Raw genomic sequence first — 12531 nt, 5'->3', positions numbered from 1 at the left:
CTCCAGCCTTTCTTTCCCGTGAGTCTGGACGGCCACCCCATCTCCTTTAGGCTCCCTCAGGGACATTGGGCTCTCTCTTCCATTGGGCTCTCTCTTCCTGTTCCAGTAGTCATGTAGCCTGCTCTTGCACTCATACCTATACATTTCAATTATTTAACTTTATGTAAATTTGATACCTGGTAGGGCAAGTTGGGTAAAGTGGAGAGAGGGCACAGGGATATTTGCTTTTGCTTTAAACAACTGTCCGTGTGAATAGCACTGGCTGAACTTGGAAAATGTCCATCTGCCACGCGCCTGTCAGGATGTGTGGCGTGATGGGTGGGGATCTCGTGACTTTTCTATGAAACTCTGGGTACTTTTACTTTTGGCTTCTCCTCCCCACGCCCTGCCCACTGGCCCCTCCAGTTTCCAGGTTGTGATGTCTCTGAACCTTGGGGCCGCCCTTCCGGTATTCACACATGGGCCCGTGGCGGGTGTTTTGGGACCGGGCTGCAGTACTGATTCCGTTGGTTACTGCCAACCAGACCACAGTGACAGGCCTGCTGGGGGCAGGAGTTTCCTGTTGCCTCATAGACACTGAGACCCTGGATTCCAAAAATAAAAGCACGAGAAACCACCGTGACCTCATGGTCTCTGCTTGCAGGGGGTTCTACGCACCCGGGACCATCTTCACCTGCAGTGGCCTGGCCCGGCCTGGGCCATGTGGGCTCTGAGTGGCCAACTGCCTGAAGCTCTTGCTCTCTGTCCCCGCCTTCTAGGCAGTCACCCGCAGGGCCAAGGTGGCTCCCGCTGAGAGGATGAGCAAGTTCTTAAGGCACTTCACGGTCGTGGGAGACGACTACCATGCCTGGAACATCAACTACAAGAAATGGGAGAATGAAGAGGAGGAGGAGGAGGAGGAGCAGCCACCACCCACACCAGTCTCAGGCGAGGAAGGCAGAGCTGCAGCCCCTGACGTTGCCCCTGCCCCTGGCCCCGCACCCAGGGCCCCCCTTGACTTCAGGGGCATGTTGAGGAAACTGTTCAGCTCCCACAGGTTTCAGGTAGGTGGGGCAGGAGTCCGGGATACCCAGAGCTGGCAGGAGAGCCATCGGGGAATGTGAGGCAGGCGGCCAGGCTGAGCCCATTTGGCCACTGCCTCATTCATTCTACGAGTGTTTGCCCAGCACCTACCACGTGCCGGGGACCCTGTACCGTGCTGGGAATGCGGTAGGCAGATCTCAAGTTGTCAGGGAGAAAAGAGCCATGATCCAAAAGCAAAAGGTCCACCAATGGATGAGTGTTAAACCGAATGTGTTCTATCCATACAGTGGAATATGATTCCAACATCAAAAGCAAAGAAGTGCTGATCCATGCCACAATGTGGATGAACCTTGAAAACATGGTGCTGAGGGAAAGAAGCCAGACACAAAAGGCCAGAGTGTAGGATTCCATTGATACAAAACATCTAGAACAGGCAAATCCATAGAGACAGGAAGCAGATTGGCGGCTGCCACAGGTGGGAGTGTTTCCATTTGAGGAGATGAAAATGTTCTGGAATTATAGTGGTGATGGTTACACAACCTTGTGAATGGACTGAATGCCACTAAGTTTTACGCCAACTTTAAAATGGTAAATTTTACGTTATGCAAATTTTACCACACACAAAAAAAATAAATAAAGGGTAAATAACGGAGACAGAAAAAACACTCATCTGTTCACTCTGCGAACACTCAGTGCCAGAGGCTCCCCTGCCTCATGGAGACCCATCACGCTGGGGGCCTCAGTCTCTCTTGTGGAGTGATGCCCAAAATACCTGCCTGTCCTGGCCTTAGCCCACTGCTGATAGTCTCCAGGTGTGGTTGCAGGGAGAAAGCAGAGCTGGGGTGGTCCTCACAGACGAGCGAAGGGAACTGAACTTTCTGTGGAGTTCAAGCAATTCTCCTGCCTCAGCCTCCCGAGTAGCTGGGATTATAGGCGCCTGCCACCACGCCTGGCTAATTTTGCATTTTTAGTAGAGACAGGGTTTCACTATGTTGGTCAGGCTGGTCTTGAACTCCTGACCTCAGGTGATCCACCCACCTCAGCCTCCCAAAGTGCTGGGATTACAGGTATTAGCCACCGTGCCCGGCCAACTGTCCTGCCATTGATTGATTGATTGATTGGAGACAGAGTCTTGCTCTGTCACCCAGGCTGGAGTGCAGTGGCATGATTTCAGCTCACTGCAACCTCTGCTTCCTGGGTTCAAGCTATCCTGCCTCAGCCTCCCAAGTAGTTGGGATTACAGGTGCCTGCCACCACACCTGGCTAATTTTTGTATTTTTGGTAGAGACGGGGTTTCACCATTGGCCAGGCTGGTCTCAAACTCCTGACCTCAAGTGATCCACCCGTGTCAGCCTCCCAAAGTGCTGGGATTACAGGCGTGAGCCACTATGCCTGGCCATGTCCCGCCATTTAGAAGGGCTTTTTTTTTAAGAGATGGGATCTTGCTATGTTGCCCAGGCTGGTCTCGAATTCCTGGCCTCAAGTGATCCTCCCATCTTGGCCTCCCAAAGTGCTGTGATTACAGGCGTGAGCCACCATACACAGTCTAGAAGGACATTTCTGATTTTGAGGGACAAATGCAAGTGGAGTCTGGTCAGCCCTCTCTGGACCCAATCCCCATCCCCAAGGTGGCAGAGCCTATGTCTGGGTGCCTGGAAACACATTCAAGTCCTGGGAGGGCACAGGTCTGGAGACCACAGGGAAGCCCACAGTTCTCAAAGGTGGGCATTTAGGGGATGCTATTGCAGGTGTCCCCAAACAAAATAGACCCGTCCCTCTTCTGGAAGCAGAGAAATGTAGCCCTTGCCTCTTCCATCGCTGACTTTATTCCAGGGTAAAAGAGAAAAAAATTATTTTGGTCTTTTTTTTCCCCACTCTTGTGTGGCTGAAATAGAGCCTGTCCCTCTTCTGGAAGCAGAGAAATGTAGCCCTTGCCTCTTCCATTGCTGACTTTACTCCAGGGTAAAAGAGAAAAAAAAAATTATTTTGGTCTTTTTTTTTCCCCACTCTCTTGTGTGGCTGAAAGCAGCAAAGCTGAAAGCAGCAAAGCAAGCCAGCTGACATGCCAGAGCGCCTGGCGACCCAGCTTCTCTGTGGCTGTGATGGGAAAGGAAACATGCTATTAAGTTGTTGGGTTTGAAATCCCAAACCCTCAATTTCAGGAGCAGAAGGAAGGAAACAGCTTCCTTGCAGCTGCAAGGGGAGCCCTGGGCCGCCCCATCAGGATATCCCCCTCCTGCCTGGGCTTAGGGCTGGGGACTGGCCCCTGAGCTGGGACACCCAGATACTCCTGCTGGGGAAAAAGACGAATGCCTGTCATAAAGTGAGTGGAGGTGTTTATTCACCCACCCAACAGTCACTTATTGAGCACCTGCTGTGTACAGTGACAAATGTGGCAGACACATCTTTGCCCTCATTGAGGATTTGGCAGGCTGCAGAAAGGCAGGAATGACGGGAGCCATCACTGAGACACACATTGGTTACAAATGGAGAGAAGCCCTCCGCAGGGAGGAGGGGGGCTCTGAGAGGTCCTGGGGGTGGGGGGACCTGATCAGGGACTGGAGTCGAAGGAGGTGACACCTGCATGCTGAGCAGGAGTGAGCCCGATGGGTGGATGGCGTGGGAGGCTTCCAGGTAGAGGGGCTTCGTTTGCCAAGGACCTGCAGCATTGGAGGAATTGAGAAGGGCGCACGTGGATCGGGTATGGGTGTTGCCAGCAGGCAATTGGCAAGAGAAGAGGCCAGGGAAGGTCATCCACGGGTCATGGGCTGCCTTTGAAAGCTCTAAGTGTGTGGGTGGGAGATCAGATTTGTGGAGGGACTTGGTGGCAGCAGTGAGGCCACACTGGAGTAGGTGGTGAGGCTCAGGGGTTGTAGTCTCTGCAGGTAGGATCGGCATCCAGGAAGCTCCTGGGATCCCTTTCTTGGGTGGTTTGAGATGGCCAAGGTGCTTGATATATTAATAGTTAATTGAGGTCCCTTCTTACATGGGATGGCACAACCAAGGGAGAGAATACAGGGTTATTCAGGGCCCAAGGAAGCCATGAATGACAGGACAGAGTGGAGCCAAGGGAAAGTGGTCCCAGGAGTCAGGGAGCTTCACTTTCATTCCCATGCACCGCAGGCCAGCCGTGTGCTAAGCGCCCTTCATACTTCACTCACGTCATGCTCCCATTGTTGCTCTGGGGTAGAAAATGTGGCCCACCCCACTTTCCCCGAGAGGACGCTGAAGCTTCCAGCATTGAGAGATGTGTCCAAGGTCCAGGCAGATGGGGGAGTTGGGAGCTGAGCCCAGGACTGGCCGCCCCACGGCACGGACTCTGCAGTCTTTGCCAGGGTGAGGATTTAGAATGAAGCAGCTTCTCTGAATTCTCAGCAATTTTCCTTGTGACCTGGTTCCCCTAAGAAGCAACACTCCCTGTGAACTGGCAGATTCAGGGCCCCAGGGATGAGTTTTCATAGAGGCTGGGGTTATTATCCTGGCATCGTAGTTTTGTGACCTTAGGTTGGTCTGTCTCTCATTTTTCTTTTGCATTGTTTCTTTTTTAAATTGAGGTGAGATTCACATAACAATCATTTTTAAGTAAATGATTCTGTGGCATTTATTTAACACATTCACAGTGTTGTACAAGTCACCACTATCTAGTTCCAGAGCATTTTCTTTTTTTTTTTTTTTCTTTTTTCTTTTTGAGATGGAGTTTCACTCTTGTTGCCCAAGCTGGACTGCAATGGTGCGATCTCGGCTCACTGCAACCTCCGCCTCCCAGGTTGAAGCGATTCTCCTACCTCAGCCTCCCAAGTGGCTGGGATTACAGGCACACACCATCATGCCCAGCTAATTTTCTGTATGTTTAGTAGAAACAGGGTTTCACTATGTTAGCCAGGCTGGTCTCGAACTCCTGACCTCAGGTGATCTGCCCGCCTCTGCCTCCCAAAGTGCTGGGATTACAGGCATGAGCCACCGTGTCCGGCCCCAGAGCATTTTCAAATGGAAACCTGGTACCCATTAGCAGTCACTCCCCATTCCCCCTCCCCTAGCCCTGGGCAACTGTGAACCTGCATTCTGTCTCTGGATTTGCCATTTCTGGACATTTCATTAGATGGGATCATATAATGTGTGATCTTGTCTGTCTGCCTTCTTTGACTTAGAATGACGATTTCATAGGAGCGGGGGTCAGAACCTCATCCTTTTCATGGCTGAATATTGGGTCTGTTCCTTGTAGCTCTGTGACTTGGTTTTACCTCACATGAGCTCTCAGATCCCTTTAGTTCCAAAATAAAACCAAGGAAAAACAACAACAAAAACCCTACTAGAGGCTTGCACCTTTATTAAGCTTGCTGAATTTGAATATGTGTGAAAACTTCATTACAAAGCAATTTGCCATGCAATTTTCACAAGAAACCACATCATAATACTTTAATTACTGAAATAATTACCTACAGGTTGAAAGGATCAAAGGATTAATAGTCTGTTCTTGCAGAGGCCTGAACTTGTTTAATTTTAACCTGAAACTGCAGAAATTGCCAAGATAATGGCAGGTTAATTTTCAGAGGCCAGAATCTACTGATCTGAGAGTGTGAGCGGCAAGGCCCTGGCGGGGGGGTGGGTACGGTGATGGCCTGGAATTTCCAAGGGAAGAGAAGGGTCACTCGAGGTCCTTTGGGGCTCCTCCCACTGCTGCATCTCCACTGCCATTATGGTAACCCCAACACTGTCACCTCCACCCTGCCATCAGTGCCCTCGCCAACATCATCACCAGCTGTCACCGTGACTGCCATCACCACCAGCTGCTTCCCACAGCCACCATCAGTGAGACCACCCACCCACTCCACACTGCTCCCCACCTGTCCTCTGTCAGCCCATCACAAAGCCCAGGAGGCTGTGTTTCCCATAGCAGCTCTCCTGAATTCTCCAGGACACCAGGACTCCTCTCCCCTTCACCATCTTCACCCACTATGAGCACACGAGAGCTGGGGCAGGTACCTCGCATCTCCAGGCAGAAGCTAGTTTGTAAGCACAGCAGCCGTCCCTGTAGCCAAGGAACCTGCAGTCAGCAGTCCCCAAGGTCCCTTCCAGGACTCGGACTGCCGAGGCAGGGCTGTGTTGAATTATTTATTGAGCATCTGTTCTGTGAGCACCCCAGCAACAGCAGTCCCCAGGAACAGAAAAATACAAACTTGCCTGGGCACGGTGGCTTATGCCTGTAATCCCAGCACTTTGGGAGGCCAAGGTGGGTGGATCACTTGGGGTTAGGAGCTCGAGACCAGCCTGGCTAACATGGTGAAACACCATCTCTACTAAAAATACAAAAATTAGCCAGGCATGGTGGTACGTGCCTGTTATCCCAGCTACTCGGGAGGCTGAAGTGGGAGAATTGCTTGAACTCAGGAGGCAGAGGTTGCAGTGAGGCGAGATCATGCCACTGTACTCCAGCCTCGGTGACAAAACAAGACTCTGTCTCAAAAAAAAAAAAAAAAACTGATTATTTGTTGCCATCTAGGTATGGGCAGTTTGGTTTGAGAGGTGGTATTTGGGAAACAGTGACCAAAGGTCAGAAAATGAGCCAGAGATGTTCTGGGAGGGCAGGGAAGGTGGGCAGCGCCTAGAGGCAGAGCAGGCCAGGAGGGTGGCGGGAAGGAGGCTGGCAGCTTCTATCAGAGAGGAGCTGGCCCTGCACAGCCTCCATCCTGGTGGGGCCTCTGGCGAGCTATAGCAGTAGCCTCCCATCCTTAATGGCTTTGCCCAGTGGTTTCACCCACGTGCTTCCAAGCCAGCTCTTAATGATGGGAGAGGGAGGGCCTCTGTGGGGGTCTCATGATCTCTGGCACCTTCCCTCGGCCCACAGGTCATCATCATCTGCTTGGTGGTTCTGGATGCCCTCCTGGTGCTTGCTGAGCTCATCCTGGACCTGAAGATCATCCAGCCCGACAAGAATAACTATGCTGCCATGGTAGGGGTTGACAGCTCTTCTGGGGTCTTACTGATATGTTTTGCTTGTGTTATCTGCACAGACGGGGTGCAGAGTGGAGCAGCTGACACCCCACTTGGAGTAGCAAGGTCTGTGGTAGTTTGATAGGTGTTTTCGTCTTCCTTTCCAGAATATGGATTAGCATTTACTACAAGCAGGAAACGTTGTTTCACATGATGGCTGGAATCCTGGGCGATGCTAGGCTAGTGAGCTGGAGCATGTGGGGTGGATCCACTCTGCCATCTCTGGGTCAGGAGGGGCATTCCTCCTGTCTTCTGTTGATGGTCTGCATGGTCCCCTTGCTGGGCCATCAGGGGATCTGCTGTTTATTCACTGATTCAGTTACTGAGCCCATCCCAGATGTTCACCCAAAGGGTGGTGGACATACCCTGTCTCAGTTCCAAGGGCGGAGATCAAGAGAGTTAAAATCATCCCTGGTTGGGCATGGTGGCTCACACCTTTAGTCTCTGCACTTTGGGAGGACAAGGCGGGTGGATCACCTGAGGTCAGGAGTTCGAGACCAGCCTGGCCAACATAATGAAACCAAATCTCTACTAAAAGTACAAAAAAGTAGCTGGGCGTGGTGGCATGCGCCTGTAATCCCAGCTACTCAGGAGGCTGAGGCAGGAGAATCGCTTGAACCCCAGAGGCGGAGGCTGCAGTGAGCCGAGATAGCGCCACTGCACTCCAGCCCGGGCAACAAGAGCAAAACTCCGTCTCCAGGAAAAAAAAAAAAAAAAAAAAGCATTTCCCCCCCATCCCCCGCCATGCCCTTTTTTGGAAAAACAAAATGGAATTGATATGCAAATGTATGTCTTTGCAAGTGGTGAAAACGGCAGAATATGAAACTTCCTCCTTCTTCCTGATACCTTTCCCAGAGGCAGCCCTGTGACATCTCCTATGCCAGCATAGGAGGAGAATCTTCCCTGTCCATCTGTTTTCTCCTAAATAATTGTTTTCATGTTTCTCAGAGACTGGGTCTTGAACCCCAGGGCTCAAGTGATCCACCCACCTCTGCCTCCCAAAGTGCTGGGATTACAGGCGTGCGACACTGCACTTGGCTCTCTTCCTCTATTTTTAATAGAATCCATTAACATACCTGCCATACTTATTGTCTTTTTTTCTCTCAACTTTTTATGAAAAATGGCAAAGACACATTTTGCTGTGTTTGCTTTGTCACTATACATCCCCACGGACGCACACACGCTTCCGTCTGGCCATTTGACTTCACAACCCTTCACTCCTAAATACTTCAACGTGCCTAATAAGGTTTTTCTCCCATGGAGCCATAAGAGCACCATCAGATCTAAAATAAGATCAATAGTCCCACCTAACAACCACTTTTATTCACTCATCCCAAATGTCTCTCTTTATTTTTTTGAGACAGTCTCTATCGCCCAGGCTGGAGTGCAGTGGCACTATCTCATCTCACTGCAACGTCCGCCTCCTGAGTTCAAGCGATTCTCCTGCCTCCAGCTCCAGAGTAACTGGGATTACAGGTGCCCGCCACCACACCCAGCTAATTTTTTTATTTTTAGTAGAGATGAGATTTCACCATGTTGGCCAGGCTGGTATCGAACTCCTGACCTCAAGTGATCTGCCCACTTCGGCCTCCCAAAGTGCTGGGATTACAGGCAAGAGCCACCGTGTCCAGCCCAAGAATGTCTTTAATGGCAGTTTTTTTCAAACTAGGATAGAGAATTCCAATATTCTATTTGGTTATGTCTCCTTGGAATTTTTAATTTTTTTTTTTACTTGAGACAGAGTCTTGCCCTGTCACCCAGGCTGGAGTGCAGGAGCACTTAACAGCTCACTGTAGTCTTGATCTCATGGGCTCAAGCCTTCCTCCCGCCTCAGCCTCCTGAGTAGCTAGAACCACAGACATGCACCACCACACCCAGCTAATTTTTAAATTTTTTGTAGAGACAGGGTTTCCTTGTGTTGCCCAGGCTGGTCTTGAACTCCCAGGCTCAAACAATCCTCCTGTCTTGGCCTCCCAAAGTGCTGGGATTACAGGTGTGAGCCACTGCACCCGGCCTCCCTGGGCTTTCTTAATCTAGAGAAATCCTCCTGCTTTTCTTTTTCCTTCATGACAATGACTCTTGGAAGAGCCCAGCCAGTAGAATGTCCCATGTTCTGGATTTGTCTGATGATTTTGAGGTCTCCTGCCTTGTTTCTTCATTTCCTGCACACCACGGTTAGGTCCAGGGCTTGATCAGCAGGGAGTCTTCATTGGCTGGCGATGTTCTGGATGTGGCATTTTCAGGAGGCACACCACGCCAGGGGTCCCACTCAGTTGGGTCACTTGCTGGACTGCTCCACTGGCCAGGGGCATTTTTCCCGTTGCAGTGGTAAATGATCTGCCTGGTACTGCTTTGGTAGCATGCAAATATCCTCTTCCCCAGTTGGCATCTGTTGGTGAAACTTGCCTGAGTCAGTGACTACACTAGGGAATGCAAAATGGTGATTTTCTGTCTTTCCTTCTACATTTAGTAGTAGGTACTCTTCTATAAAAAAGCACTTCCCTGTTTTCCCATGTGTGTATGTATGTGTGCATGGGTGTATGTGCCGCACTGTGAATTTTTTTATTCACTGTGTTACAATCAATCTTAGTCATTCTTTTCAATGTTCAGATTGTCCCAAATGTTGTCACTGTGAGCCTCTTCAAGTTGACTGCTGGGTCCTGTTGACATGACTCTGTGATGTCTTTGAAGACTTCCTTGCTGGCAAAAGACGTCCTTGCCCACATTGTACCTCCCCTGCCTCAGATCTGGAAATGGTTATCTTGGTGTGAGGACTGGTTATTTTATTTTATATTTTTATTTTTTGAGACAGTCTCACTTGTCACCCAGGCTGGAGTGCAGTGGTGCAATCTCGGCTCACTGCAACCTCTCCTCCGTGTTCAAGCAATTCTCCTGCCTCAGCCTCCCAAATAGCTGGGACTACAGGCATGCACCACCATGCCTAACTTTTTGTATTTTTTTAGTACAGACAGGTTTTCACCATGTTGGCCAACGTGGTCTCAAACTCCGGGCCTCAGGTGATCTGCCCGCCTTGGCCTCCCAAAGTGCTGGGATTACAGGCATGAGCCACTGTGCCCAGCCAGGACTAGATCAAGATCTTGGAACCCTTTTCACTTTACACCACCTTGGTGATCACTCCTAATTGGAACATATGGATCTGCCTCCATTCATTCATTCATTCAGTTATTTTAGAGATGGGGTCTTGCTATGTTGCCCAGACTGGCCTCAAACTGGGCTCTTGGCAGGAGGCCCCACCTAGCCTCCTGAGTAACTGGGACTATTGGCTCGAGCCACCACACCCAGCTTAATCTTTTTAACAAGTGTGTCCTTAGGGCCCCATATGGAGGTGTCACCATTCATTTCAAGAGTAACTTCTAATGGACATTTCTGTCTAATGGACATTTCTGTTGTCTTACAATGCAGAAAGTATTTGTTCTGCAAACAGTGCTGCAGTAAATATCCTTAGTCCCTGTGCACACAGGAGCTCAGCTGTAGGGTAAGTTCTTAGCCATGGAATTGCTGGTCCAAAGGGTCTAGAGGATGCTTTAATTCTGACATTGCCTAATTGCCCTTTAGAGAGCAGGTGCCTCATCTGTGGTGTTCACAGCTGTGTTTCCAGCACTGGGCATCTGGATTTGTCCACCAGAGGAATTCTCTTGCTGGTGACCAGGCAGGTGCATGTGAGGGCAGCTTGACCTCCCAGAGGCCCAATCTCCCCTGACTGTGGTTCCTTGTCCCCTTCAGGTATTCCACTACATGAGCATCACCATCTTGGTCTTTTTTATGATGGAGATCATCTTTAAATTATTTGTCTTCCGCCTGGAGTTCTTTCACCACAAGTTTGAGATCCTGGATGCCGTCGTGGTGGTGGTCTCATTCATCCTCGACATTGTCCTCCTGTTCCAGGAGCACCAGTTTGAGGCTCTGGGCCTGCTGATTCTGCTCCGGCTGTGGCGGGTGGCCCGGATCATCAATGGTACGTCTCCTGCACTCCCAGGCTGTGGATGGAGAGTAGGGGCCCAGGCATACATCCAAGGCCTGACTGCGCAGTCACTCTGGGTGCCTGAGCTCACAGTGGCTCCTGTTATGGAGGCCTCCCCTCTGCCCCCTCACCTCCCTCTCCTCCCTTCTTCCTCTTCAGCCCTTTAGGAGCTGGTTATAAGCAGGTTTACGTCAAGCAAATAAAATGAAACAGGTTGGGTGCAGTGGTCATGCCTGTAATCCCAGCACTTTGGGAGGCTGAGTCAGGAGGATCACTTGAGCCCAGGAGTTCGAGACCAACCTGGGCAACATGGTGAAACCCCCATCTCTACAAAACAAAAAATACAAACATCAGTTGGGTGTGGTGGTGCACACATGTAGTCCCAGCCACTGGGGAGGCTGAGGTGGGAGGATTGCTTGAGCCCAGGATTTGGAGGCTGCAATAAGCCAAGATTGTGCACTGCACTCTAGCCTGGGTGACAGAGCCAGACCCCATCTCAAAAAAAAAAAAAAAAACTGGACTCTTGTCAAAGGAAAGAAAAAAAAGCCTTTCAGTTCCTACAGAAGATGCCTGTTATGGGGAAAGGGGGCATTTCCCAGCCTGTGCTTTCGTGGCATCTATGGACACCGCTGTTGTGCACCCACATGATTGTGAACAGGTTCTAGGTTAAGAATCCTAATGCTCATCTTGTCAGTGATTATTTTTAAGGATTTCTCAGCCATGCCAGCTAAAGAGAGATACTGTGTAACTGGGTACTAAGTAGCTCAGACACAAAACCCTGACCTCCCAGTTCTGATGCCCTAAAGTGATGACTGTCTCGCGTGTCTGTCACCACTCCTCCAAACTCTATACAGGTGTAAGAATACAGATTTTTTTCCTGAGTGGTTAAGTTAGAAACCAGTATCACTGAGACCCCCAATTTTATTTCAGGGATTATCATCTCAGTTAAGACACGTTCAGAACGGCAACTCTTAAGGTTAAAACAGATGAATGTACAATTGGCCGCCAAGATTCAACACCTTGAGTTCAGCTGCTCTGAGAAGGTAAGAAAGACGACACATCTGGGGACCAGGCGTGGTGGCTCATGCCTGTAATCCTAGCACTTTGGGAGGCCAAGGCAGGTGGAGCACCTGAGGTCCGGAGTTCGAGACCAGCCTGACCAACATGGAGAAACCCTGTCTCTGCTAAAAATACAAAATTAGCTGTGCATGGTGGCACATGCCTGCAATCCTAGCTACTCAGGAGGCTGAGGCAGGAGAATTGCTTGAACCCGGGAGGTGGAGGTTGTGGTGAGCCAAGATCGCGCCATTGCACTCCAGCCTGAGCAACAAGAGCAAAACTCTGTCTCAAAAAAAAAAGATATCTGGGAAGCTGGCCTCTGCCGCAGCACCCGCCTGCAGCAGAGCGCTGCTCATGCACCTAGAGCGCCCTTCCCTGGGCTGAGCCTGCCTTGTCCTTTCAGATCCAGCCCAGGCGTCACATCCTCCCTGAAGCTGTGCCCACCCCCACATCCCAGGGCTCTGCCAGGTCCCCCA

The 12531-nt window shown here is 50.5% G+C and overlaps 1 protein-coding gene across 18 annotated transcripts in view, besides 3 other annotated features; it reads left to right on the top strand.

Moving 5' to 3' along the window:
- The window catches only part of HVCN1 (hydrogen voltage gated channel 1), a 56267-nt gene that overhangs the window by 42746 nt on the left and 990 nt on the right, over positions 1 to 12531 (top strand). For all 18 annotated transcript variants that reach the window (XM_011538846.3, XM_017020026.3, XM_011538847.2 and 15 more), the window contains 4 exons: positions 759 to 1043; positions 6869 to 6973; positions 10759 to 10990; positions 11927 to 12039. In XM_011538846.3, the coding sequence (XP_011537148.1) occupies positions 759 to 1043; positions 6869 to 6973; positions 10759 to 10990; positions 11927 to 12039 (735 nt within the window). The remainder of the gene's footprint in view (positions 1 to 758; positions 1044 to 6868; positions 6974 to 10758; positions 10991 to 11926; positions 12040 to 12531) is intronic.
- Positions 65 to 114: an enhancer, noted in NCBI's record as "active region_7016". NCBI's record gives its function as "activates an Ori minimal core promoter by ATAC-STARR-seq in GM12878 lymphoblastoid cells {active_cell/tissue: GM12878}" and the evidence as "EXISTENCE:reporter gene assay evidence [ECO:0000049][PMID:35858748]".
- Positions 295 to 797: an enhancer, noted in NCBI's record as "H3K4me1 hESC enhancer chr12:111099215-111099717 (GRCh37/hg19 assembly coordinates)". NCBI's record gives its function as "activates a minimal SCP1, AML or CMV promoter by ChIP-STARR-seq in naive H9 embryonic stem cells {active_cell/tissue: H9 hESC(naive)}" and the evidence as "EXISTENCE:reporter gene assay evidence [ECO:0000049][PMID:30033119]".
- Positions 415 to 704: an enhancer, noted in NCBI's record as "active region_7015". NCBI's record gives its function as "activates an Ori minimal core promoter by ATAC-STARR-seq in GM12878 lymphoblastoid cells {active_cell/tissue: GM12878}" and the evidence as "EXISTENCE:reporter gene assay evidence [ECO:0000049][PMID:35858748]".

This window comes from Homo sapiens, chromosome 12 (assembly GCF_000001405.40).
Source record: "Homo sapiens chromosome 12, GRCh38.p14 Primary Assembly".
Lineage (NCBI taxonomy): Eukaryota > Metazoa > Chordata > Mammalia > Primates > Hominidae > Homo > Homo sapiens.
The sequence above is the reverse complement of the archived record's forward strand: the minus strand, read 5'-3'. Positions and strand labels throughout refer to the sequence as shown.